This window comes from Homo sapiens, chromosome 22 (genome assembly GCF_000001405.40).
Source record: "Homo sapiens chromosome 22, GRCh38.p14 Primary Assembly".
In the NCBI taxonomy this organism is placed as follows: Eukaryota; Metazoa; Chordata; class Mammalia; order Primates; family Hominidae; genus Homo; species Homo sapiens.
The window spans coordinates 40,322,629-40,348,826 of NC_000022.11; the positions used below are offsets into that span (position 1 = coordinate 40,322,629).

Genomic DNA, 26,198 nt, shown 5'->3' on the forward strand with positions numbered 1-26,198 from the left:
GTTTACATCATTACTTCTTAATTACCTGGCGGTCTGGTTGAAATACAAGTTCTGGACCCAGAGGTCTTGGGTGGAGCTTGGACTTTGCATTCTAAAAAGCGTTCATGGATATGGCAGCTTCTAGTCAAAGGACTGCACATTGAATGTCAAGGACTGCAGTCGCTCCCTCCGTATGCTTTAGGATTTTCCTGAGATCCATAGCTCTCTTTCCCTCCCTTCTTCCAGGTGTGTGTTGGGAAACACTACCATCCTTGCTGAGTTTGCCACTGATGATGAAGTCAGCCGCTTTCTGGCACAAGCTCAGCCCCCTACACCTGCAGCAACCCCAAGTGCGCCAGCTGCGGGGTGGCAGTCGCTGGAGACCGGCCAGAACCAGTCAGATCCCGTGGGACCTGCTCTGAATCTTTTTGGTGGGTCCACTGGGCTCGGGCAGTGGAGCAGCAGCGCTGGTGGCAGCAGCGGGGCCGATCTTGCTGGCGCTTCATTGTGGGGGCCCCCAAACTATTCTTCTAGCTTATGGGGAGTCCCAACGGTGGAAGATCCCCATAGGATGGGCAGCCCTGCTCCTTTACTACCTGGTGACCTTCTGGGAGGAGGGTCGGATTCAATCTGAACTTAGAACTTTCAACTCTGACCTCGTGACCTTTTTTGGAACAGCAGCAGCACTAACTTGACCTTTTCGTTTTTTTTTTCAACTTGCAATAAATACATTTTTAAAAGGAAAAAAGAAAACGGAGAGAAAAAAAGGTGGGTCATTGACAGACTGTCTGAGCACATAGTTGCCTCCCTTATAACTTCAGTTTTTTCGTTTGGAATATGAATCCAAAAAGAGAACATATCACTCTTGAAATACTTGAATCATGAACGCCAACCTAGAAAGACAATGTGAAGCAAGTACACATACCATTTAAATTTAAACACAAAAAAATTAAAAAAATTAGTTTCTAGTTTTTCACTTTTTTCATGTTATATGGAAGTTGTTGCTAAGAAACATATATACTGAAAAAAAATAGCTTTTTAACTTTGTTTGCACTGGGTGTGTTTCCGTCCTTAGGTCTACCATGTTTGGGAGGGAGGGAAATTCAAAAGAATTGTTGGGGGAGGGGGGAGGGAAGACTTGACGGAGCCTCACTTTAAAAACAAAAACACAAAAAACCTAAAAAAAAAAAAAAGGAAAAAATTTGTGATTGGCTGGTTGATAAATACCAGTGTGTTCTGGCACATGTAACTGCCCAGGCATGCTCGTTCTGGTGTGTGTGTGCACGTGTGTTCATGTGCATTCGCGTGCATCCTTCTCTGTCTCTGTGTGTGTGCCTGTGTTCTTCCCTTCTCCCCTGCCCCACCCTGACTTCTCAGAAAGCTGCATCGCTGACAGTCTGCAGGCTGGCTGGCCGGCCCATCTGCTTTTTATTTTATTTTTTTAACTATGAGAACACACAGGCCCGGAGAGCCACTGCTACTAAAGCAACTCCATTGGGCTGCATTAAGATGAACAGAGTGCTTTTTAATGATGAAAGCAGGGAGCTCCTTTCCATTTGCAACTTAGCCTGAATGTGGGGTTTCTCTGGCTGTTCTTTTGACCTAGCAGTAGAGTGGAGCACTGCCAAGTCCAAAAAACTAGAGCAGGAGGTACCTCTTGGAGCAACGGTGTGTTTATTTCTGTTTTTTTTTTTTTTTAAGTGAATGGCCACCAGGCACATCTGAGTATCTGTTAAGTTTCATGCAGGCCTTTTCGTTAGTTTGAAATGGGAACGGAAGATAACTTTTGATGATGCGATGTCTCAAAAACAGAGAAACTTTGTTCCCTCTTTCCTTATGATCAGGTTTGAGAAATTCTTCAAAAAATTAGGTGAAGTTGAGTTACATATTTCTGTTGGTTGGTTCTCTTTTTCATTTTATGAAAACAGAAAAGAATAAGTGGTGAGCAGCCTCCTGAAAGCATCTGCAGCTACTCCCTCTGCTCCTTTCTCGCCGAGCGTTACCTGTGCCAGGCCGTGGCGCGTTACAGCACCAGGCCATCACTGACAGAAACGTTTACTTAACGAATGTTCTTAAACCAGTGTGTACTTCAAGCGTTTCCTTTTGTTTCTCTGTGTTGTGTATTTCCTGTGTATGTGGTTTTGCTTAGGCAGGTATAACTTAGCGAAGACTTTTAAGTATTGCACCTTTTTTTGATTTTTGACCTCTTCCCCCCACCTTGTAATTTTGCTTTTTTAATTTCGGTATTTAAATACTTTTTTTTTTTTTTAAGCATCAATGTAGTAGTACTCTGGGCCGAACAGGGGTCAACGTTTAATCTACAGTTATCACCAACATGTATGTACTTATGTCGGAATCAAAATGTATCAAACTGCTTATTGTGAAGAGAATTATAGCAGACCTGAAGGGGGCGAAAAACCAGATAGGGTGGGGGGATGGATGCCGGTGACGTGCTAGCACTTGTGTGGACATCCCAGTCTGCATTATGCTGTTTAACATAAAGTGCCGACATTTTGTACCAGCAAATACCTGCCCATTCCAACCCTTGGTGGGAGCAGACCTCTACTGTCCTCTGTAACTTGCTGCTATTGAGGACAAGGGAGTTTTTCTTTCTTTAGCGTCTTCAGTGAAGGATACAATACAACAATGCCTAATGTATTTGACTTTTTAGCTTGTGTCTGTGTGTAGGTGGGTGGGTGGGTGTGTATAGGAAAAGCCTAAAACAAGTTATTTGCATTTCAGTGGTTTTGTGAGACAAAGAATGGGAAATTCTGTAGCCCTTCTGGCTTACCCTGTTGATTATAAACCTAGCCTCAAAAGAGATTGACAGGCATGACTCAAGTGAGTGTTCACATATACAAGCCTGCATGAGCCCTCTGTGGGTAGGTGGTCACACTTGGCATCTGCAGCATTGACGTGGCCCCGCTGGGTGCCTTGAGCATGCCCTCTTCCTGCTCTGCAATTTGAATCACCACCGTGCCCCTTCCACCACTGTTCCCCATGCAAAAGCTCTGCTTCCAGCAGCCCCCACTGACCGCTCTCTGTGTGGAGCAAAGTGCTGTCGTGCGGTGACCACCAGGTGAAGAGCAGCTTGTATTCAGACATCTAGAGAAGGTTAAATCTTAGTGTCCCTGGGCCAGGAGCATATCCCAAGGCTCCTGCGAGCCAGTGGCGACCCTGTCCACTGCCGCTCTTGGTTCACTGCTGTGTCCTGCCCCACCCTCCTCTCCTCCTGCCTGTTGGTTCCTTGACCTGCACTATGGGTTAGTTGAGTTCCTTACGATACTACGGTGAAAGCCGGGTGCTAGAGCCCCTCTTGTTTACAAGACATAATGAGGGATTTGAAATATGTAAAAATAAACATGAGAAGCTAAAATGTTCTTCCATCATAAGCTTAAAGGGAAAAAAACTAAAAACTTTAAAAAAAAAAGACCAAAAAGTGCGTATATATATACATATAAATATATATTTTAGATGAAGACTAACTCTGGGAGCATTTAACAGTGTTTTTTGTTTCTGTTTTTAACATTTGTTTTCCTGCTTTAAAATTTGCAAGCATTCTCAGGAATTCTAGGGTAGGAAGCCAGTTTTTTGAAGATGGTTTATTTAACCATATCTTATCCTAGAGAGATGGCTGTTTCTTTCCTGTTAATAAACTTTTACAAGTTCCTGAAACTTCAGAAAGTTTAAACAATTTTTACTTAAAAAAATGTAAAAAGAAAAGTCTCCAAACATTATTGTCATACTGGGGATCACACATTTTAAAACACATAGAAATATTTTTTAAAAATTATCAATTTAGCAGCAACAGGTAAATTCATTATCTTAAAAATATGGGAGAAGGATTAAGCTTTGTAAGAGCTCGATCATGGATTCTTTTGAAATTGTGTGTAGTTTAATGGGAGAGTGTTTGGTGTATATAGATGAGAATGCCATCACTTTGTTCCTTTCCATTTGAGACTGAACTGAAATCTCCCCTAGTAATTTTTATTTTTTTAAAGGAACCCTTCTCCTTGTCCCCACAACCCCAGCAACAAAAGAAAGGAAGGAAGGAAGAAACAACAGCTTAAAAAAAAAAGTAATCTGTAAAATAGTACAGTTGGATTGCTGAGAATCTATGTAAAGAGTTAGGAAATATAGGTTAATAATTTTTGGAACAAATTTTAAATATAGGCATTACTAGAGGAAAATTATCTATGGACTGTCCTATTAATGAAGAATGTCTGTCTTACCTCCGTTTGTTTTGGGAGGAGGAGAAAATATAGAAGAATCTAATAAGGAACAAGTGATTTTACTTTTTTAGCTCCCAGCTACTGTTGTGCTCGTTTTAATTGCTGTTTTGAAGATCTGCTGCTTAATTATCCCCATCCCTTAGCCGGAGATGTGGAGTGTTTCCTTTCAGTTTTTGGTGATGTTGAATTCTTTTGTATTCCCTCCTGGGGCCAGGGGTCAGAATTCCCAAGCATGACCACAGCTTCTTTTAAACATTAAGCTTCCCAGTGGGAAGGAAACTCCAGCTCGACAGGTAAAGGGAGTGGGTGGGGTTGCTGCCTGCAATTTCTCTAAAACCGCTTTAGTGCCTTCGTACATACACCCAGACATCCTGAGCAAGGGGGACGCACATGTGTGTGTGTGTGGTCCAGTCACTCCACAGATGTAAGATACTCACCCATAAAGGAAATTGGAGTGGTTCTGGACAGGCCCCAAAGGCAGTGGGCTGAATTTAAAATAAATAAACAAACGTCAAGCAAGTTAATATGCTTATGTCTCAGTAATGTAGAATGCCAAGTTCCTTCCTGTGTCGTGTGCCCTCCATTACTGTGCATTGATTCCTCCAGGTGTGTAATTGTGACAACTGCAGTGATTTGGAAAGTCTCTTTGTCTTGGGCAAATAGAAGGGGTTCCTGTTGTTCTGCTCTTGTCCTTCGTCTCCTCCCCTTTTCCCCCAGACCTCCCCCTTCTTTTTGTCAACTTGCTGGGAGCTTTGCTTTATTGGTTGGCAGTGACCTAAGAACAGGATATGGTGAGGATGTCATGGAAGAGAAGAGCTCTTTCCGTGGTATTCTTTGGCAAGAGCCATGTCTACTAAGAGGTTAGATGACTTCAGTATACTTATAAAATTCAGTGAGAGTGCCTTCTTCTCTTCTACCACACTCTGGCATAGATACAGGCTTGCTGGTCACCTCTCATTACATAGATTTATTTTAAAAACATTTTGATTATGTTAATTTGAGCTTTCCCTTTTTTTTTTTTAACTACTTTTTAAAACACTTGATTACTAGTGGCTTAGAGGTGTGTACATCTCCTGAACATCACAAACTTGGTTTCTACCTACCACACGAGTAGCCAAAAGAAAAGAAGCACTAATAGAGAAAGGGGTGTCTCACACCAGACAGAGGACCTCTGCTGTCAATTAGATCCAGTATCATGACCTAACTTTAAGTGTGGAAAAGAGTTCAGATCTCTGAGACACTGTGAAGAAATGGATGGCTCATGTAACATCTCTGATCCCTCAGTCCCCAACCCTGGACGTGTTTCATTTACAACATTCATAGGAGTTAACTTAGCAGTGTTGCAAGTTAAGGTTCCAAACCAAATTATTTAATCAGTGTCCCCCCAATAAATCACTTATCCATTTATTGCTAGTTAGTTTTATTTATAGCAACTTGATTTCCTATGAGTATGGCTCCTGTTGTAAGAATTTTCCCACCTCTTCTGACATGAATGTAGCATAAGTTAGCAATCGGTTCTTCCAAACTCCTGTGGGTTGAATATGGTATAGAAGGTATGCAAGAGGAAAAAGAAAGGAAAAGATAAAACTCCTGCCTGAGAATTTGGAAGCACCTTTATTAACACATATATCTCGCAGAAACTAGAAGCTCATAGGCTGTTAACTTTTTGCAACTATTCACTCATTTTTACCACTTTTTTTTTTGGGTGAGGGGGTGATTTTTGTAAGGTTAACAGCCAGATTCCATTTTGACCTCAGATGCTGTGTACTTTTTAATTTCATTTTTTATATTCTGCCATCTTGACTCTTCTCTAAAACAGAATGAAAATGTCTGCATGCTGAGCAAAATGCTTACGCCAAGCCTGTTTTTCTCTGCAGAGTAAACAGGATGTTTTCAGCAGACTTGGCTCTAATAGCCATCTCTAAGATTAGGGAACAATTGAGTCTTTATGTAGAAAAGATCCATTTTTTCCCCATCCTCAGAGTTAAAATTCAACATTTAAAGCTTTATCGGTTATTGTTTTAGATTTGAGATTTTTGTTTTTAAGTATCTATAAGATCTTTAGAAGTGAGATAAATTTTTCGCTGGTTAAAAAAAATCAAACTTTCCTCTGCAGTGTTTTTGCCAAGTTTTGTCACACTTCATGTGTATGCATTAACTATACTTCTTAGTGTTACTGCAAAAAAAAAAAACAAAAACAAAACAAAAAAAAGCCTTGTTCTTTAATTGTGTTTTTCCTCCTGTGAGTGGACAACTAAAGCCGCGTGATGATGCGGATGAAAATATTCTGGTCTGTGTGTATACAATGAATTGTCAGTCTTCAGACCTCATGGTCGTTAAGAAAATAGGGAACTCACAAACCCTGCTGCGCACTACATTTACTTCTTTATCTGCAAGTACAGGGAGTCCATACAGTCAAGAAACACACAGATACACATAATGCTATTGAGGACATTGTCATTCTGTAAGAAAACAGAATATTATCTAGATTTCCAGAGTTAGTGCAGACCCTGTGATAACAGTCTGTGGGTTTGTGGCCAGCGCCAAAGGTGTGTGTATTTTCAGAAATGGTCCCTATTTGTCAGTGATAGTGTTTTTTTTTTCTTAAGTTTGACAAAGGGGGTGGTAATATCACATTCTTTAGATTTGAAATAATTATCAGCTCCAAGAATCTGTGAACATAGTAATAACAATAAAAATTCAACATCGACCCTCCCTAACCTGCTCACCATACCTCCCCACCCCATGCCTCTGAAGAAAGAGGCCATGAACCTACGAGGTGGTAAAGGGGGACACAGGTCAGGGAGTGGAGAGCTACTCCTCCAGCAGCTCAGCACCCACACTGCCCGCATGCGTGTGGCCACCGGGACCAGATCCCGAGTGATTGTGGCATACCCCTAATATTTGAGTAGTTTTTAAGCTGTCAGTCTCTTGTCATAACCTCCTACCGCCACCCAAAAAAGTAACGAAAGTTGCAGTAACTGCCAGTGTTTGCCTCACCAAATTTAAATCGTTCCCTTTTCAGTTAGCTATATACCTGAATTTGTTTTTAACAAGAAACTGTACATGGCCAGGAAAAATGGTACTACCTTGGCCAAAGGGTCTTTGCAAAAAGCTCAGTCTTCAGTTCTTCACTGTGACAAATGCTTATCTTGTTCATGGGAGGGGAAAGATCAGATAAATAGGCAAGAAGTACTCTGTTTTAAATAAAGAATAAATAGTGTCCGTTTAAAGCACTTTGTGCCTCAACTTCATTTTTAAACTGTAAATCATTGCTTTGGAAATAAATTCCCAATTATAATTGACCCATATCTAGCCAATATCAACAAGTTGGGATGGTTTTTGTTTTTTTCTTTTTTTTCAAAAAGGGAAATTCCTCTTTACTGCTCACAGTAAGCTGCAAAAGAAAGTTGTCAAGGTGGCTTATGATGCTGTTGTAGCAGAGCTGTGAAAGGAAGTGCTTTGCTTTCTCTCCCGCCTTCCGGAATCTGGCGTTCCTTCCCCTTCGGCTACTGAAAGGTGTGTACAACTCCCAGAGGGGTGGCTGTAAAAGTTGACTGGAGGCAAAGTGGAGTGGCCTTATTGCCAGGACTAGCCCTACAGAAGAGCTTTACAGAGAGGAGGACAGTACATCCTATGTGTGTTCGCCAAAAATGGGAAAGGTGGGTATTTAGGCAAAACAAAATAAAAACCTTTGGAACCCTTTAAGAAGTTACATACCTTTTAAAGGTAGTATAGTTTCTCACCAAGTGATGCATTTTAGCATGACACTTCTTGCCAGAAATTTTGGGATAAGTTGGAATAAATGTGTTTAAAACATCATCCACCGCCCTTTTTAAATTTTGTCTAAGGAATTACTTAAGTATAGTATTTCTGAATGTGCCTTTGTGAGTACAGAGACCGTCCGTTCTAGGAAGAAGCTATCCGTTGGATACAAACAAACAGACGGTCAGCTTTAGTCATTAGGGAAGTCAAAGTTCCTCCTGGAAGTCCCAGGAGCAGCTGTTGAGATTTCATTAGCATCAATATTGCACAGTGTAGAGTTGAGTGGAAGAGATTCTGGGACTTGGGAGAGGAGACAGGGGAAGGTACCCAGGCGACGCAGACCCACGTTAGTCCAAGAGCGCAGGTTTACACATCTGCATTCCCTAGTTTTCTCCGTCTGTATGTTTGTGCTCATGTGGCTTTGGCTGTTTTGTTTTTTGTTTTTCTGTAAGCACTGGAGAATTGGAATATGGTGATACTTGTGACACATTCATGCATGTAAACAAGGCATTTTCCAGCTTCTGCCGTGTGCAGAGCGGGCAGCACGCTTTTACCCTTTGAGTCTGTGTCCTGAGGCGGCCATTACATTCCCACATGGGCGTCACATCACGTTGCTGTTGATGCAAACAGGGTATTACACACAAGGAAAAGGGGTTTTGAAGAGTTAAGATTGAAGTGTTTGAGAAAGAAAAGAGAAAAATCTGAAATCATATTTTATTTCTTCAGAGCTATTATAGTTGAACACAGAAATCTGCAGTGTCTTTATTTGTTTTTATGTTTTAAACAATTTCACCTCTTCTCCCCACTCCTATCTTCTAAAGAAATATCAAGCAAATGCTAAGGGCCATTTCCATGATTCCTCAGAGCTCCCCCAAAGAGGAGAACAGTCCCTCCCACTCGATTCCTTCAGCTTCATTCAGGAAGACACAGGGAGGAGAGATGCTGCTTCTGCGCTTTGCTCTCATTCCTCTCTCATGGCCTTGAAATGTATTATTATGCAAATGTGAATTTTGATACTGAATTTAAGAAGAGGTTGTTGGATTTTTTTTTTTTTTTTTTTTTTTTTCAAAAAAAAAAGTCCCACATGTGGTCATCGTCGCTTCTTTATGTTGTAAGGTGAATTGTAACTATGCATTCTGCAAAGGGGGTGGGGAGGAGAGGGCAGAAAGGGGAAGGGAGTAGCGTTGCATCCTTGTTCTTCAGTTTCTGTGTCCATGGTGTCCCCGTGTCCTGGAGGGGAAGGGGAGTGAGAGACGAATGTGGTAAGGTCAGCACAGTGAGATAGAGACCTCTGAGTCCTCTTGCCACTGTTGCTGGCAGGTCTGATGGCCAGGTAAATTCCAGGGGGCCTGCAGTTCCTGTCAACCAATGTGGTTCAGGATTCTTGATCCTAGCCGTGCAGTGTTAATCCAGTGCAGCAATGGAACTCCACAGGCTCCAGTGTTCTCTGGAAAAAGTACTCATCCTTTCCTGAATTCAGAGCCCTTCAAGCTCAGGAAACCACGCTTCACTCGTGCTGACCTGAAAGTTAATCTTTAGGTCGATTTTGAAAAACTCCGCCTCCTCTCTCCTTTTTAATATTTCTTTCTTCCTTTTTAATCATGTTTAAGTGAACTTACTCTTAGTTATAAGGAACTGTCCTGCTTTGTGGGGAAGAGGGCTGTTGCTTGTCAGGCAAAAAAGTTTTCTCTTCCTACCCACCATCCCTCTCTCTGCTTCCCTTGCATTTGGCAGGCTGTATGAAGCCAATGAGCTGCGAGGTGTTTTGACAGGGGAGGTCTGCATGCAGCCTCTTCTTTGTCCTAACAATTCCTTTGTTGATCTTGCCTGTGATGAATCATAGCGCCTGCATTGCTCTGGTCTAGGCATTATTTGCAACACACAGTATCGTAAGCGAGAGATTGTTCTGCCTATATTCAGTGTTTTCCATGCAGCAATTCTTCTTGTTGACGTTCACAGTACTGTAACGAGTAACAGACTTGATCACAGTCTCCTCGTGCCTGTGCAGGGCTGCACAGGCATGATCTTATCAGGGTTCCAATCTGTTAGATTGCCTTTAAACAAAAAAAACAACAAAAAAATAAAATCCTGACGTTTCAACTGTCTCACACAAAATAATACCTCGAGGTACATTTCCCCCTGCAATGTAAACCCTTAACTCCTCTCTCCTTTCTGACATCAGTGGATTATCCTTTTTAAAATATGAACATGTAAATAGCAGGATAACTTTAAAAAACATTTTCTTTGCTGTGAAAGTAACCCTAAAATATGTTTTCTTCTTTTGTATTTTTTTGGTTTTTGTTTTTAAGCCATCAGAAGTTTCAGATCTTTACTCTTTCATGTTTAAGAAGAAAGAGCAGAGGAGGTCGGGGGAGCCGGTTTGCATTTGTGTTGGAGGGGTGTTATCTCCATTGCCTCCCACACAGTGACAGCAGACCAGTATGTAAACCCTGTCTTGGCTGGGCGCGGTGGCTCACACCAGTAATCCCAGCACTTTGGGAGGCTGAGGCAGGCAGATCATCTGAGGTCAGGAGTTTAAGACCAGCCTGGCCAACATGGTGAAACCCCGTCTCTACTAAAAAATTAGCCGGACGCAGTGGCGCGCGCCTGTGGTCCCAGCTGCTCGGGAGGCTAAGGCAGGAGAATTGCTTGAACCCGGGAGACGGAGGTTGCGGTGAGCCGAGATTGCACCACTGCACTCCAGTGTGGGCAACAGAGCAAGACTTCGACTCAAAAACATAAAATAAACAAAAGACACACACACACACAAAAACCCTGTCTTAAATAGCTGCCATCTCTTCCAGCAATCTAGTGCCAGGGTAAGAAGTGTCTGAATTTCTCTCTTCCAGCAGATCCATCCCCTGCAGGGACTCCAGAATGTTCTCCACACAATACCTGGAGCTCTCAACCTTTCTTGGTTCAGACACACACATACACACCCCTTGAGTAACTCAGTATCATTTTGTAGTTCACAGAAGGATGTAGTCCCTGGCATTTTGGTTTGCACTGTAGAATCCATAGCCTTGTCACTTTGTTATGCTCTGGAAATGTACTGATTTCTTACTTGGGAGGAAACTTGTGTAAGGAGATGTGCAAACCACCCTGAAAGCCATGTGCATCCTCACCTCTTCCATTACCCCCTCCATGAGCTCGAAGCGACATTAAGTAGAGGGAAATGCTTTTAACAAATGCTGCTCATGTGGATCTGTCAGCTATTGCTTGCCTAGATTTGGGCACCCATGAAGCAGGGTTGGAATGGATCATTTTGAATTGCTTCTTTGCAGACACCCCCTTCGCCCCCATCTTTAAGATAAACCCTTTACTAGTCAAGAAGCCCTTTTCAGTTGGATCTCACTGATCTTGTATAGTGACGACTTCCTTTGAAGGAAGAAGCTTGATTATAAGTGCATGCATATTATCCACCCACCTTCTGATTTGGGCACTGTTCACCTTGGAATTTTATTTATTTTGTTTATCTGGAGGCCCTTTTTCTATCAGTCTCTGATCCCTCATGGGTTCTGCCTGCCCTTGTATCTCTTGTACAATGCTCCCAAAGGGCTTTGCTGATCTCTGCACTTCTTTCCTGGGACACTCCCCCCACCACCACCCTTTGCACACACCAGTGACCAAAGTGTATGCAGTGATCTCACAGAAGACATCAAAAATGGTGCATGCACCGTGAATGTGCTCACAGAGACACGTGCACAAGATTCTGCACCCTTGGCCTTAATCTCAGTATGACTTAAGGTGCAGGAACATTTTTAACAGGTTTTAAAAAAACAAAAAACCCTTCTGGGAGGAAAAAAATAAAAAGCAGATACAACAGCTCAACTGTTCCCACTCCTAACTCTCCACTATGTGCTTATAACTTCACATTCTATGCCCTCCCCGCCACCCACCTCATCCCTGTTCTGCGTAACCAAAAAACAGACAACAAAAGCAACCTGAGGAGAGGTTTCTGGACTATTTTATCTGTCTCCATTTAGATGGAGATATAAATGCTGCTTTGGGTTCCATAATCCTAGGGGGCTATGTTTACATAGTAAAATACATCCTACCAAATCAGGAAACAGTGAATAATGGGAGTCACTTCACAGAGACGCAGGAGGACCTGGGGGGCGTAGCAGAGGAGGATAGGTAGAGAAGTACCATTTTAATTATTTGTGACTTGTGGCTTCCTTCCTCCTCTCCTCCTCCCTCCACGTCTCTCTTTGCCCCCTTTAGACAGAAGGTGCAGAAAAGGGCATCAAAAAGAGGCTGGATTTTTTAAAAGGCAGCTTTCCAACTTTGCACACAAACAGGTAACAGGAAGGTACAGCAAAAATCCTCTCATCTGAAACACTGTCAGCAGAAACAAAACCTGTAAAAATGACTAATCAGCTGCACATATTGATGCTCTCTGCAAGTTACCTTTAAGTGTTTTTTTTTTCTTATACTTGAAGTTGCTTTTACGATATTATTTTGGTGGCTTTCTTTTCTCTCTTTGATGGGCAATAGAGGAAGTAGATAATGGGATTTAAGGACGCCTGGGGGAGAAAAGGGAGGATGTGGCATTGTCTTTTTTTTTTTTTTTTTTTTTTTTTTTAGCATAGAGGTTTAATCAAACTCCCATATGTTGAAATTGCTCCTCATATTACTGGTTTTACATGGACACAGAAACTAGGCACTTTAGAGGTGCACTTGCATGGCAGGCTGGGCCCCCTTTTCTATATTTTATTTTCCTTTTTAGTATAGTGGTACTTAAAATCACTGGTTCACTTAAAAAAACAAACAATAAAATGTTAAACTCTACTAATGTACAAATAAGCTGAAAAGTTGCATTTTATGTGTATTTTTTGCCATAGCAGGTACTGTATTTCTCATGCTGGATTTCAAAAAAAAAAAAAAAAGTATCAAAAACAAAAAAAACTAAAGGGTGGTGTTTTATTGGATTGTGACAGGTTGAGTAATAAGGAATTAAGTCGTCGTCATTTCATTAAAACTGAGAGATGATGTAATGCATATATAAGAGTTTTCTGAAGGGTTTTTTTTGGGCTTTTAAACAGCTTATTTTTGTTTTTGTTTAGTTTTTTTATTTTATTTTATTTTGGAAAGATATGATTGTATTATGTGCAACTCAGTTGCTTACATTATAACTACAAAATATTTTTGGGTTCCTGGAAAAAAAAGAAAAAAGACTAATAAATGTGTTTGGCTGCTAAGCATTTACTATTGTGGTTTCCTGTTTTATTCTGCCAGTTTAATTTGCTCATTTGTTGAATGTTTATATATTTTTTCTTATTCTTCTCTCCCTGCTCCACATGTAAAAGCTGTCAGAAATTCAACATTTGAATTTGGGCCGCAACTCTGTCTACCTTGTCTTGTCATGTTTTTGTTAGGGTTGTTGGGTTGGCTGGTTGGTTTGTGCTGCTCACCGCCTGCCCCAATGCTGAACATGGTCTGCCACAGTGCAGGGTTCAAATTCTCTAAGAGAAATTAATGTTCTCCTTCTACCTTTGGCTGTTGTCTTGTTTAATCATAATTTGCACTTGGAATGAGAACACGAGAAGAGAGAAGAGGCCTGCCTAGAGTTCTGCTGCCACAGTGCAGGGTTCAAATTCTCTAAGAGAAATTAATGTTCTCCTTCTACCTTTGGCTGTTGCCTTGTTTAATCATAATTTGCACTTGGAATGAGAACACGAGAAGAGAGAAGAGGCCTGCCTAGAGTTCTGCTGCATCCCACTGCTGCAGTGCCCAGGGATGATAACCAGCGAGTTAGCTTTGTCCAGAAAATGCCATGCTGAGTGCCCGTCTGCCCTGCTTCGGGTGCCGCAACACTGCTGAGGAGCATGATAACCGCAACCATTAGGCTAGATTTTCCCCATCTCCGATGTATTTATGGTTAGCTGCTAAAATAGAGACTTGTGAGATATGTAATTGTGAAACACCTCTAGAATGGTAAAGAGGAAGAATGGACAGGAACTAATACTTACTCATTTCCAGATGCTTTTGTATCTGATTTTATTCTCAGAATGCTGTGAGAAAGATCATTAGGAAGCTGAGGCTCAGAATTTCTTATTTTTATTTTTATTTTTATTTATTTTTGTTTTTGTTTTTTTGAGACGGAGTCTCACTCTGTCGCCCAGGCTGGAGTGCAGTGGCGTGATCTCAGCTTACCACAACCTCTGCCTCTGGGTTCAAGCGATTCTCCTGCCTCAGCCTCCTGAGTAGCTGGGACTACAGACACGCGCCACCACACCCGGCTAATTTTTGTATTTTTAGTAGAGACAGGGTTTCACCATGTTGGCCAAGCTGGTTTCGAACTCCTGATCTCAGGTGATCCGCTCACCTCAGCCTCCCAAAGTGCTGGGATTACAGGCATGAGCCACTGTGCCCATCCGGCTCAGAATAATTTAAGTAGCCAATAGAAGTTTGCATTGATTGAGTGCTTACTATAAGCTGAGCACTATTCTAAGCATGTGATGTATATGCATTCTGTTAACTGAAACTCATTGTCACGGGTGAAACCAAAATAGGAGACCAGATTGGATTCAAAAGTTATACCAAGGCCGGGCGCAGTGGCTCATGCCTGTAATCCTAGTATTTTGGGAGGCCAAGGTGGGCAGATCACTGGAGGTCCGGAGTTCGAGACCAGACAGGCCAACATGGTGAAAACCCATCTCCACTAAAAATACAAAAATTAGCCGAGTGTGGTGGTGCGTGCCTGTAATCCCAGATACTTGGGAGCCTGAGACAGGAGAATCACTTGAACCCGGGAGGCAGAGATTGCAGTTAGGTGAGATCGCACCATTGCACTTCAGCCTGGGCAACAAAGCGAGACTCCGTCTAAAAAAATAAAGTGACACCCAATTGCGTCTGCTGAAAAATCCCTGGATTTCTGAGAAAAAGATCTTAAGGCCTGTTGTACAAAGTGGTAGAGCCATCCCGTCTGTCACCACAAAAGAAGTAAACCTTGAAAAACGGGTAAGAAGAGACGCACCAGATGTTCAAAAACACGGAGGGCCTGCCTGTCACAGGTAGGTGCTCTTATTGAGGAATACAGATCACTGCAGAGACTGTAAAGACCTTTGTTACCAAAGGCTTTGTTTTAAATTTGAATTATTTTAAAAATGTGTAAATGGCTAAGGAGTAATATATTGTAGAATTAAAGGTGATTGTTTAGACCTTAACGTCTGACCCAGTTTTCCTCACCAGAGATGTGTCCTTCCATCACCTTGGGTGAGTTTAGTGTCCACATGGAAAATCCACCTATAACCTGGGCTTCTCAACCCTTCCTCCAGCCCACCCCAGTCACACATACCCATGCTCACCCAAAACTGCTCCCCACCAGAGTCACTAATTTTAGCATCCTGGACCATGACCTCCTCTCCTTCCAACTGGATCCCACTCCTCTGGCTATGTTGACTTCATCAACCATACCCGCCTAATCCGGTTTAGATTCTGTAGCCTGTAATTTCAGTAACACGCTTGCTAATACCCATACTTTACCTGCCGCTCTGTTTTCTTGACACCTGTCTGACCACATTCCCACTTTGGAAAAACTCTGTCCCCCAGCACCCAAAAGCAGCCCAGCATTGCTGGAAAAAAAAGTCACTACAGGGCATATGAGGACTCCTGTAAATCCACTGTAACGTACCCCCTAGTGAGACCTTGACACTGTCCAGCAGGCTACCTGTGTTCCTCTAATCAGCTCACTCTACCACTTCTTTCCCAATTATGTGGTTTTTTTAGAGGCAAGGTCTGTGTTGCCCACGCTAGAGTGTAGTGGTGTGATCATAGCTCACTGTAACCTCGACCTTCTGGGTTCAAGTGATCCTCCTGCCTCAACCCCTGGAGTAGCTAGGATTACAGGTGTGTGCCACCACACCTGACTAATTTTTTGTAGAGATGAGGTCTCACTGTGTTGCCCAGGCTGGCCTTATCCTCCTGCCTAAGCCTCCCAAAGTGCTGGGATTACAAAAGTGAGCCACCATGTGCAGCTACCCTTCCCAATTTAAGACCTTTTCTGATTTCAAATCTTAACCCCCTTTCTCTCTCAACTGAAGACTTTGCCTACTAGTACACAGATAAAATTAGAGATATCAGAAAAATGCCCTCAAATTCCTGCTTCCACACTATGAGAAAGATCTGTCTCCCTTCTTTTTCTGGTTCCTTCGTTGCTCAGGATCCTTCCTTTCTTGCTTTCTGGTAACTTTTACCTCCGTTACCCATTCTCTCTCCATGTGTTCACTGGGGCCCTCGCTCCCTCCACATGCTCAAGTCCATCCCATGATAAAGATCATATTCCAGCTGCTGCCTTACCAACTGCTGCCACATTTTTACTCTCCAGAAATGTTCTCCCTTCCCCTTACAGTCTTCCAATCTGGTTTCTACCCCTATCATTTCACTAAAAGAGCTTTCTTGAAGGTCACTAACAATCTCCCTAAGTCCAGTGGACATGACCATTTGCCTGTTGAGACCACAAATCCTAGATTTCCTTCTGTCTTCTGATGCGTTCCTCTGTCTCCTGTATCTCTCATACTTTCATCCTCTTACCTAGCCAGGAAATGTTGGGTTGCATCAGTGCTCAAACCCAGGCCCTCCTTTGTTTGCTGTATACTAGGGTCTTACTCTGTTGTCCAGGCTGGAGTGCAGTGGCACAGTCATAGCTCATAGCAGCCCCCAAGTCCTGGGCTCAAGTGATCCTCCTGTCCCAGCCTCCCAAGTAGCTGGGACTACAGGCATGCACCACCATGACCGGCTAATTAAAAAAGAATTTTTTTTTTTTTTTTTGTAGAGACAGGATCTTGCAGTTTTGCTTAGGCTGGTCTCAAACTCCTGGCCTCCAGCGATCCTCCCACTTTGGCCTCCCCCTAAGTGCTGGATTACAGTCATGAGCCATCACGCCAGCCCGTTCCTTTTTCTTAGTTACACCAAGCTCATGCCCCCTCAAGGCTGTTAACACTTGTTTCTTGTGCCTGGAATGCTCTTTCCCCTGGATCTTTGCCTAGTCTCTGACCAAATGTGAGACCTTACCCGATTATCCTATCCAAAAATGGTTGTCACAACTCTCAAACCCACCCTGTTTCTCTCTATGCTCGTCTTGCTATATTTTCTTCATAAAACTTAACCACTCCGTAAAATTGTCTTATTTCTTCATTTTCCATCTCCCTTATTGGAATATAAGCACCAAAAAGGGCAGGTTCACCTCCTCCAGGGCCTAAAGCCTCTGGCTTTAACCATCTATGTGTGAATGACTCCTAAATTCATATCCAACCCTTACCATTGAGCTCCAGACCTGTATATGTAATTGTCTACTCAACATTTCCAAGCACTTGGCTATCTTTTTTTTTTTTTTTCTTTTTGAGACGGGAGTCTCACTCAGTCACCCAGGCTGGAGCGCAGTGGCACGATCTCAGCTCATTGCAACCTCCGCATCCCGGGTTCAAGCGATTCTCCTGCCTCAGCCTCCCAGTGGCTGGGATTACAGGCGCCCGCCACCATGCCCGGCTAATTTTTTTGAATTGTTAGTAGAGACTGGGTTTCACCATTTTGGCCAGGCTGGTCTCGAACCCCTGACCTCAAATGATTCGCCTGCCTTGGCCTCCCAAAGTGCTGGGAGCACTTAGCTTATCTTAATGATACTGCAAACTCAATAAATCCAAAGCAGAATTTGACCTGTCTGCATGCCCCACCCCCAACCCTGTAGTAACTGACATCATCATCCACCCAACAATAAAACCTAAAAACCTAGGAGGATTCTTGGACTCTGCTGCTTCCTTTCCTTCCTTAACTAATTCTTCACCAAGCTGGGTTGATTGTACCTCTTCATCTCTTTTCCTCCTTTCTTTGGCCACTTCCTTTGTCCACGCTAGATCACCTACGCCATTAGGTCTTAACCAGTTCACTGCATTAGCCTGGCTGGTTTCTCACTTGATATTCAGTACCCCCATCTCCAATACATTCTGTATGTAATTGCAGGGATGATACATTTCAAAGCATAAACCTGATGAAGCCTGGTGCAGTGGCTCACACCTAAAATCCTAGCACTTCAAGAGGCTGAGGCAGGAGGATTGCTTGAACCCAGGAGTTCAAGACCAGTCTGGCAACATGGTGAGACCCTCTTTACAAAATTAAAAAAGTAGCCAGGTGTAGTGGTGTGCACCTGTAGGCCCAGCTACTCGGGAGGCTGAGGTGGGAGGATCACTTAAACCCAGGCAAAGGCTGCAGTGAGCCATGGTTGTGCCACTGCACTCCAGCCTGGGGGACAGAGCAAGACGCTGTCTCAGAGAAAAAATGATGAATTTAAAAAATTTTTATAGAGATGGGGGTCTCACTTTCTTGCCCAGGATGGTCTTAAACTCCTGGGCTCACGGGATCCTCCCACCTCAGCCTCCCAAAGTGCTGGGATTACAGGCGTGAGCCACTGCACCTGGGCGAGAAATTCGGTTTTTAAAAGCTTGAAATAAAAACAAAACACTCAGAAGACGTGTTCATTGAATTAGGGCTCAAGAAACAAAAAAAAATTTCTATTTAGAGATGTTGCTTTAGGTAACAGTGAAAGCCAGCTGGAAGTGTCTACGCAGCGGCCTTTAAAGATCAAGAATCAAAACTGGAGAACCTGTGGACTCAGAAGGTAAGTCTTGCAGATGTGCAAGGCGTGTCCAAGGGAGGAAAGGTGAATCAATTTTTTTTTTTTTTTTTTGAGACAGAGTCTCACTCTGTCACCCAGGCTGGGGTGCAGTGGTGCGATCTCGGCTCACTGCAACCTCCACCTCGCAGGTTCAAGCAATGTTCCTGCCTCAGCCTCCTGAGTAGCTGGGATTACAGGTGCCTGCCACCACGCCCAGCTAATTTTTTTTTTTTTTTTTTTTTGTATTTTCTGTAAAGGCAGAGTTTTACCATGTTGGCCAGGCTGGTTTTGAACTCCTGACCTCAAGTCATCCGCCCACCTCAGCCTCCCAAATGGATCAAATCTTGAGGAAACCTCCCCTACTTCTTTTCCAGGAGTGAGAGGAGAAGCCTCTTCAAAAGTTTACTAAGAGGCCGGGCATGTTGGCTCATGCCTGTAATCCCATCACTTTAGGTGGCTGAGGTGGGCTGATCACTTCAGCTCAGGAGTTCAAGACCAGCCTGTGCAACACAGCAAGACCCTATCTCTGCCAAAAATAGCTGGGCATGGTGGTGTGTGCCTATAGTCTCAGGTACCTGGGAGGCTGAGACAAGAGGATTGCTTGAGCCCAGGAGGTTGAGGATGCAGTGAGCCGTGATCATGGCACTGCACTCCAGCCTGAGCAACACAGCAAGACCCTGTCTCAAAACAAAACAAAACAAAAAAAACGACCAAGAGCAGTCGGGGTAAAATCAGTACAGTTTAGTTTTCAAAGCAGACAGGAAGGAAATTGTCAAAAATGCTAAATACTTAAATCAGCCAGGAGGGACGAATGAGAAAAAAAAAAAAAAACCTATTTGATTCAAAAGTCAAAATGACATAAAGATGTACATTGGGAAATTTTGCTACCAGTACTGTCCTTGTCTATTCCATTCCCTGCATGATACCCCACACCTTTAATGAGGCAAACAAGTACATATTATGGAAAAGGACATTTTGATTGGTCTGTTAGAGAAGGTTATTGGTAATTAATAATAGTTTGATTTGGAAGAAGGGGAGAGAGCAGAAGTTGCACCTCAGTGCTAAAGAATAAAGTGGGGAGGGGAACGATTTGTTGAGCACAGGAGTCCCAGACAGTGAGCTAGGGAGCCAGCATCTATTTTTGCTCTTGCACCTAACACCTGGGATCATCAGTCACATTTTATAGGTGGGAAGACTTATGTGCTGAAAGATAAGTAACTTCCCCAAGTAACACAGCTAATAAGTGGTAGCGCCAGGAATGGTCGGTGAAAAGGCAGACAGAAAATGAGGACTCCATGTTAAGGAGTTACCACGGCAAGTGAAGACGTTCCTATAGTGGAAGAGACCTAGGCATTTAAAAACAAAACCCTCAGAGGAGCTGACTGCAGTGGCTCATGTCTGTAATCCCATCCGTTCGGGAGGCTGAGGTGGGAAGATCACTTGAGGCCAGAAGTTTGAGACCAACTGGGCAACATAACAAGACCCCGTCTCTAAGTTAATAAGTAAACAAAAGTAGACGAAGGCGATGGCACGTGCCTGTAGTCCTAGCTACTCGGGAAGCTGAAGTGGGAGGATTGCTTGTGGACAGAAGTTCAAGGCAGCAGTGAGCTATGATCATGCCACTGTCTTCTAGCCTGGGTGACAGACCCCATTTCTAAAAAACTAAACAGCCTGAGACAAGGTCTTGAAAAATAAAAAATCAGAGGAGAAGGGAAACAGAACTGGGGTGATGAAAGATATAAGACAAAATGATCAAGCAAGATCTTTTCCTGAATGAGGAAGAAGACTCAGGTAGAAACTTGTTTGGAGGAGGAAAAGTAACAGCAAAGTGAAGCAGAGGAAGAACAGAGGCCTAGAAGACTGAGGAGATCACTGAGTTTACAATGGGCATGGGTACGTGCTCTGGTTTCTCTTCAGATTATATAAATCTTTCCACCTTTTACAAGAGGCATGGGTAGAAAATGAGAAAAGTAAATTTATCACAGTGTATCAAAGCAATGAGTGCCAGGAAGCACTCTGCAAAGAGTGGGGAGTTTGATGGAGCAAATTCTTCATCTTTCCAGAACTGTGACTGCCCTCACCCCCAAAACCAGTCCTCTGCAGTTCAAGAGGGGAGGTGGAAGAAGACTTCAGTGACGAGCCCAGGTGACTGACAGGCTTCTCTGATGGCCTGAATATTCTGAAATTGGCACTCTAGTCAATTCTGACAGCTAACTCTGGAGTTCAGGTGGAGGCATGAACAAGCCAGGGAATGAGGACACCGAGGAAGTGTGGAGGAAGAGGAAGTATAGTGGCAGAATCTAACTTGTATCATGGCTATTGTGGGCGTTATTTCTCTTACTGGGCTAGGCTCCTTTGGGGCAGCATTTATGCATCCAGCAAACATTTACTGAGCACCTATGCTATGCCAGGTTTGGGGCTCAGTGCCAGGAACACAGACATGATCTCTTGCCCCACTGAGTTTGCCATCAATGAGCAAGGCAAGCAACACTGAATTCTGGTAAGAGTTTTGAAAGAGATGCCAGGAGGTCTCAGCATCCAGCCGGGCGTGGTGGCTCACGCCTGAAATCCCAGCACTTTGGGAGGCCAAGGTGGGTGGATCACCTGAGGTCAGGAGTTCAAGACCAGCCTGACCAACATGGAGAAACCCCGTCTCTAAAAAAAAAAAAAAAAAAAAAACAACGAAAAAACAAAATTAGCCAGGTGTGGTGGCGCATGCCTGTAATCCCAGCTACTCAGGAGGCTGAGGAGGGAGAATCGCTTGAACCCGGGAGGTGGAGGTTGCGGTGAACAGAGATCACACCATTGCACTCCAGCCTGGTCAACAAGAGTGAAACTCTGTCTTAAAAAAAAATAAATAAATAAATAAAAGAAAAAGAGGCCGGGCACGGTGGCTCATGCCTGTAATCCCAGCACTTAGGGAGGCCGAGAAGGGCAGATCAGAAGGTCGAGACCATCCTGGCCAACACGGTGAAACCCCATCTCTACTAAAAAAAATACAGAAAATTAGCCGGGTGTGGTGGTGGGCGCCTGCAGTCCCAGCTACTAGGGAGGCTGAGGCAGGAGAATGGCGTGAACCCGGGACGGGGAGCTTGCAGTGAGCCGAGATCATGTCACTGAACTCCAGGCTGGGCGACAGAGCGAGACTCTGTCTCAAAAAAAAAAAAAAAAAAAAAAAAAAAAGAAGCCGGGAGGTCACTCAGCATCTAAGAAAGCCCAGAGGTGTGGAGGGAGAACACTGTCATGGGTGCTCCATAGGTTTTTGAGTGAATCTGTGAATGAAAGCAGGAATGGGAAGGTGACTGGAAAAGAAGTTATTGTCAAAGAAAAGATCTTGAAGCCTTGAGATCTAATCATGTACTTTTTTTTTTTTTTTCTTGAGTTGGAGTCACACTTTGTTGCCCAGGCTGGAGTGCAGTGGCACGATCTCGGCTCACTGCAACCTCCACCTCCTGGGTTCAAGTGATTCTCCTGCCTCAGCCTCCTAAGTAGCTGAGATTACAGACACCTGCCACCACGACCTGGCTAATTTTTGTATTTTGAGTAGAGATGGGGTTTCACCATGTTGGCCAGGCTGGTCTCCAACTCCTGACCTCAGGTGATCCACCTGCCTCAGCGTCCCAAAATGCTGGGATTACAGGTGTGAGCCACCGTGCCTGGCCCTTAATCATGTACTTGTAATAGTCTAGAAATATTATGGTTATTGGAAAAGTGAAGTTAACTCTCAGCAAATAAACTGGGAGTTAAAATTGGAATTCCTCCACAGGTCTCATTTTAGTAAGGCACTCAGAAACAAGTAATTTCAAAGCAGCATAGTACTGGGCTCAAGCGATCTTCCCGCCTCGGCCTCTCAAAGTGTTGGGATTACAGGCGTGAGCCACCACACCTGGCTTGAGTGTCTTTAGATTCCTCACGTAAAAGGCAGAGAGCTAGGAGTTAAGTGCAGGTGGAGAGGGTGCAGGCACCCGGCTCTTTTCGTTTGTTTTGTTTTTGAGACAGGGTCTCACTGTTGCCTAAGCTGTAGTGGCAAAATCATGGCTTACTGCAGCCTCAACATCCTGGGCTCAAGTGATTCTCCCACCTCAGCCTCCCAAGTAGCTGGGACTACAGGTGCACACCACCATACCCAGTTAATTTTTGTATTTTTTGTAGAGACAGTGTTTCATCATGTTGCTCAGGCTGGTCTCCAACTCCTGGACTCAAGCGATCTGCCCAGCTCAGCCTCCAAAGTGCTGAGATTATAGGCGTGAGTCACCGTGCCCAGCTGAGACACCTGGCTCTTACAGCTCCAGATGAACCCTTTCCTGTGTGATCACCCCACTGGCACTCCAGACTGAACAACATAGCAAGACCCTGTCAAAAAAAAAAAAAAGGGGGGGGGCCACTTGAGTGTTTCTATTTCTATTTATTTATTTAATTCTTTTATTTTTTGGAGACGGAGTCTCGCTCTGTCGCCCAGGCTGGAGTGCAGTGGCGCGATCTTGGCTCACTGCAACCTCCGCCTTCCGGGTTCAAGAAATTCTCCTGTCTCAGCCTCACAAGTAGCTGAGACTACAGGTACAGGCCGCCATGCCCGACTAATTTTTTGTATTTTAGTAGAGACAGGGTTTCACGTGTTGCCCAGGCTGGTCTCAAACTCCTAAGCTCAGGAAATCTGCCTGCCTCGACCTCCCGAAGTGCTGGGATTACAGGCGTAGGCCACCGCAGCCGGCTCACTGGGGGCGCAGTAAATGCCGATTTCCCTTGGGTATCTTCATTTCTCCTTAGAGCCGAGCTCGGTGCGCCGCGGGCAGGAGTGGGTGGGGCGACAGTAATAAGAGTAACAGCAAGCGTACACACGGCCTTCCAAGTGTGCCAGACACCGCTCTAACACTGAATCCGCACAACCCGAAAGGCAGGCCTTTTTTTTTTTTTTTTTTTTTGCTTTTTGTTTTTTAGAGACGGGAGGGTCTCCCTGTGTTGCCCAGGCTGGTCTCGATCTGTCGGCCTCAAGCGATCCTCCGGTCTGGGGCCCCCACAGTGCTGGGATTACAAGCGTGAGCCACCGCGCCCGGCCAAGGAAGTCTTAATGTACCTCTTTTCAGACAGGAAAACTAAAGTGTAGCGCGGCTAAGTAACGTAGGAAGCATCAATCATGTTTCTGGTCAAAGAAGCGAACCAAGTCAATTCTCAGGCAGAAGCAGCGGAGATTCTCCGCAGCCGGCAGCGCCCAGGGCGCCCGGAACCCAGAGAGCGAGACCGCGTGAAGGAAGTCCCGCCCCGCCCCGTCCTGCCCTGGCCTCCAGGTTTCCGCTTCCGCTCTTCCCTGGTCCAGTCCACCCTGGCGGGGTCGCAGGGTTGGGATGGCGGCTGGAGGCGATCATGGTTCGCCCGACAGCTACCGCTCACCTCTTGCCTCCCGCTATGCCAGCCCGGAGATGTGCTTCGTGTTTAGCGACAGGTATAAATTCCGGACATGGCGGCAGCTGTGGCTGTGGCTGGCGGAGGCCGAGCAGGTAACGGATCCCGGGCTGAGGGGCTGGGCCGGGAGGGACGGGCCCGCCCCAGCACGTGCCGGGCTCTGTTCCGGGCTGGGCTTAGCCACCCCGGAGCTGCGGCCCGGCTATTTTCAGCTGGGTGTTCCCTGTCCTGAGGAGCTGCGGCCCCAGGAAAGCAAGGGCAGGAGATCCGGGAGCCGCCACCTGTTGCCTCACGTGTTCTCAGTCCGAGAGGGTTCGAGACGCGGAGGAGGCTGGGAGAAATTCAGCCTGTAGTTTCAGGGAATTCATTTTGGCCATCCCCGCAGGAGTACGCTGCTAACCACAGACACCGAGCGCTTGTTTCGTACTGTTGTGCTCATTATTTCACTAATCTTTTCTTGTGTAATCCATGAAGATCTTGCAGGCTTGATGGTGTTTTTCCCACATTGCAGGGGAGAACAAAGCCCGGACAGCTTGTTGTTTGCCCTAGCCCATCCAGCTATTAAGAACGGAACTGGGATTTGAACCTGGGTGCACTCCAGAGCCTGAGCTGAGCACGTAGCCCCTTGGTTTTCCACAGTGCCTGTGTAGTTAGTGACAGGACTGGAATGCTTGTTTTCTAGGCCACCGTTTCTGCCTCACTGGCCTCCGCTTTGCCTCTTAGGAGAAGACTCCGGGTAGGGGTTTATTAAACGGGGTTTATAATTTCTTTTCTAAGGGCTGCATAGAGAACTTCTTAGCCCAGCGGTTTCAGAAATAGCTCCAGAAGAGTTGAAGCAAACTGAAGGTGATCCAGAGAGCGATAATGTTTCTCCTCAAGTTTCAGAGGAAAGTGCCACAACGAGCAAGTTGGCAATGCCCTCTCAAACGGCACAGTAAACATGGAAACAATTTGACTTCGGGCCTAGGACCTGTACCATGGAACTCTCCAAACAGGAAACTTTCATTCTAGATTCCCTCCCTCCCCTTATCACTGCCCTCCAAAATATTGGGCGATACACTACAATAATAGCAGACATTCAGATAGTGCCTTCTGAGACCCAGGTCTTAACCCTTTACACATGGTTGCTTATTAATCCTCCAAACAACCCTGAAGAGTAGGTATGAAATACTATGACTGTACCTGTTTTACAGATGGAAGAATGAAGCATCAACTTAATAAACTCTTGGCGTAGATAGCGATAGTAGTAGACCTTAATCATGTGTTGTGGTTTGTGATGTACTAGTGTGTACTCTTTCTATTTCATCTGATATTCTATTCTGTAGATGAGGGTAGTGGTACTCAAGACTTTGCCAGGGTCGCCAAAGCTAGTAAATGGCTTCAAGCTGGAATTGGAATGTAGAGTCTGAGTATGTGTTCTTTGTGTTGGCCTAAAATGCATACAATTTTGGCTTTGGATTATCTGTTAGGGTGTCAAAATTACCATAAATTGCATAATAACTTAGTAGCTAAGAAAAAACTTGGAGAATAAGAGATTAGGAGGAATGCAGAAAATTTGTAGTAAGGAAAGTATGAATTTTGAAAAGATAAATTGCTTGAGGGGAGGAAGCAGTATGGCCGTGCTGCCCTCTGCTGCTTTGCTTTGGAAGGAGCCCAGAGGTGTCATGTCTTCTGTGACTGTAAAGGTTCCAGGCAGTTCTGCCACATGTGGCTGCCGAGTACTTGAAATGCAGCTAGTGTGACTGAGAAACTGACTTTTTACTTTTATTTATATATTTAGGTTTTGAGACTGGGTCTGGCTCTGTCGCCTAGGCTGGAGTGCAGTGGCACAATCTTGGCTCGTTACAACCTCTGCATCCTGGGCTCAAGCTGTCCTCTCACCTCAGCCTCCCAAGCTGGAACTAGAGGTGCACGCCACCACGCCCGGCAAATTTTTGTGTTGTTTTGTAGAGATGGGTCTCACTGTGTTTTCCAGTGCGGTCTAGAACTTCTGGACTCAAGCGATCCACCGACCTTGGCCTCCCAAAGATGTGAGCCACCATACCTGGCCTGACTTTTTACTTATAAATATTTTCCAATACTTTTTAATTAATCAATTTAAATTTAAATAGCCATATCTGGCTAGTAGCTCCTTTCTTGGATAAAAAAGATCTAAGATGCAAGATCCTTCCCGGAGTCACTGTTTGCAAGTTTCAAGTGAGGTTTAAATC

At 44.4% G+C, this 26,198-nt stretch overlaps 2 protein-coding genes across 12 annotated transcripts in view, besides 6 other annotated features; both read left to right on the plus strand.

Moving 5' to 3' along the window:
* The window catches only part of TNRC6B (trinucleotide repeat containing adaptor 6B), a 290,975-nt gene extending 277,795 nt beyond the window's left edge, over positions 1-13,180 (plus strand). For all 3 annotated transcript variants that reach the window (NM_001024843.2, NM_001162501.2, NM_015088.3), the window contains one exon: positions 226-13,180. In NM_001024843.2, coding sequence (NP_001020014.1) covers positions 226-613 — 388 coding nt within the window. In that variant the 3' untranslated portion in view covers positions 614-13,180. The remainder of the gene's footprint in view (positions 1-225) is intronic.
* Positions 17,564-17,764: a silencer, noted in NCBI's record as "peak4496 fragment used in MPRA reporter construct". NCBI's record gives its function as "represses an SCP1 promoter by STARR-seq MPRAs in K562 erythroleukemia cells {active_cell/tissue: K562}" and the evidence as "EXISTENCE:reporter gene assay evidence [ECO:0000049][PMID:32103011]".
* Positions 21,572-21,744: a silencer, noted in NCBI's record as "fragment chr22:40740204-40740376 (GRCh37/hg19 assembly coordinates)". NCBI's record gives its function as "represses an EF-1alpha promoter that drives an FKBP-Casp9 reporter gene in an ReSE screen in HepG2 liver carcinoma cells {active_cell/tissue: HepG2}" and the evidence as "EXISTENCE:reporter gene assay evidence [ECO:0000049][PMID:32094911]".
* Positions 23,387-23,900: an enhancer, noted in NCBI's record as "H3K27ac hESC enhancer chr22:40742019-40742532 (GRCh37/hg19 assembly coordinates)". NCBI's record gives its function as "activates a minimal SCP1, AML or CMV promoter by ChIP-STARR-seq in primed H9 embryonic stem cells {active_cell/tissue: H9 hESC(primed)}" and the evidence as "EXISTENCE:reporter gene assay evidence [ECO:0000049][PMID:30033119]".
* The window catches only part of ADSL (adenylosuccinate lyase), a 41,028-nt gene continuing 38,701 nt past the window's right edge, over positions 23,872-26,198 (plus strand). For 8 of the 9 annotated variants that reach the window (NR_134256.2, NM_001363840.3, NM_000026.4 and 5 more), the window contains exon 1: positions 23,872-24,083. Coding sequence is in view for 7 of the 9 variants with exons in the window: in NM_001363840.3 (NP_001350769.1) it covers positions 23,931-24,083 (153 nt within the window). In the remaining 2 variants the exon portion in view is untranslated. The remainder of the gene's footprint in view (positions 24,084-26,198) is intronic. The other variant, NM_001317923.2, reaches the window with a different exon arrangement.
* Positions 23,901-24,414: an enhancer, noted in NCBI's record as "H3K27ac hESC enhancer chr22:40742533-40743046 (GRCh37/hg19 assembly coordinates)". NCBI's record gives its function as "activates a minimal SCP1, AML or CMV promoter by ChIP-STARR-seq in naive H9 embryonic stem cells {active_cell/tissue: H9 hESC(naive)}" and the evidence as "EXISTENCE:reporter gene assay evidence [ECO:0000049][PMID:30033119]".
* Positions 24,125-24,214: a silencer, noted in NCBI's record as "silent region_13768". NCBI's record gives its function as "represses an Ori minimal core promoter by ATAC-STARR-seq in GM12878 lymphoblastoid cells {active_cell/tissue: GM12878}" and the evidence as "EXISTENCE:reporter gene assay evidence [ECO:0000049][PMID:35858748]".
* Positions 24,415-24,927: an enhancer, noted in NCBI's record as "H3K27ac hESC enhancer chr22:40743047-40743559 (GRCh37/hg19 assembly coordinates)". NCBI's record gives its function as "activates a minimal SCP1, AML or CMV promoter by ChIP-STARR-seq in naive and primed H9 embryonic stem cells {active_cell/tissue: H9 hESC(naive and primed)}" and the evidence as "EXISTENCE:reporter gene assay evidence [ECO:0000049][PMID:30033119]".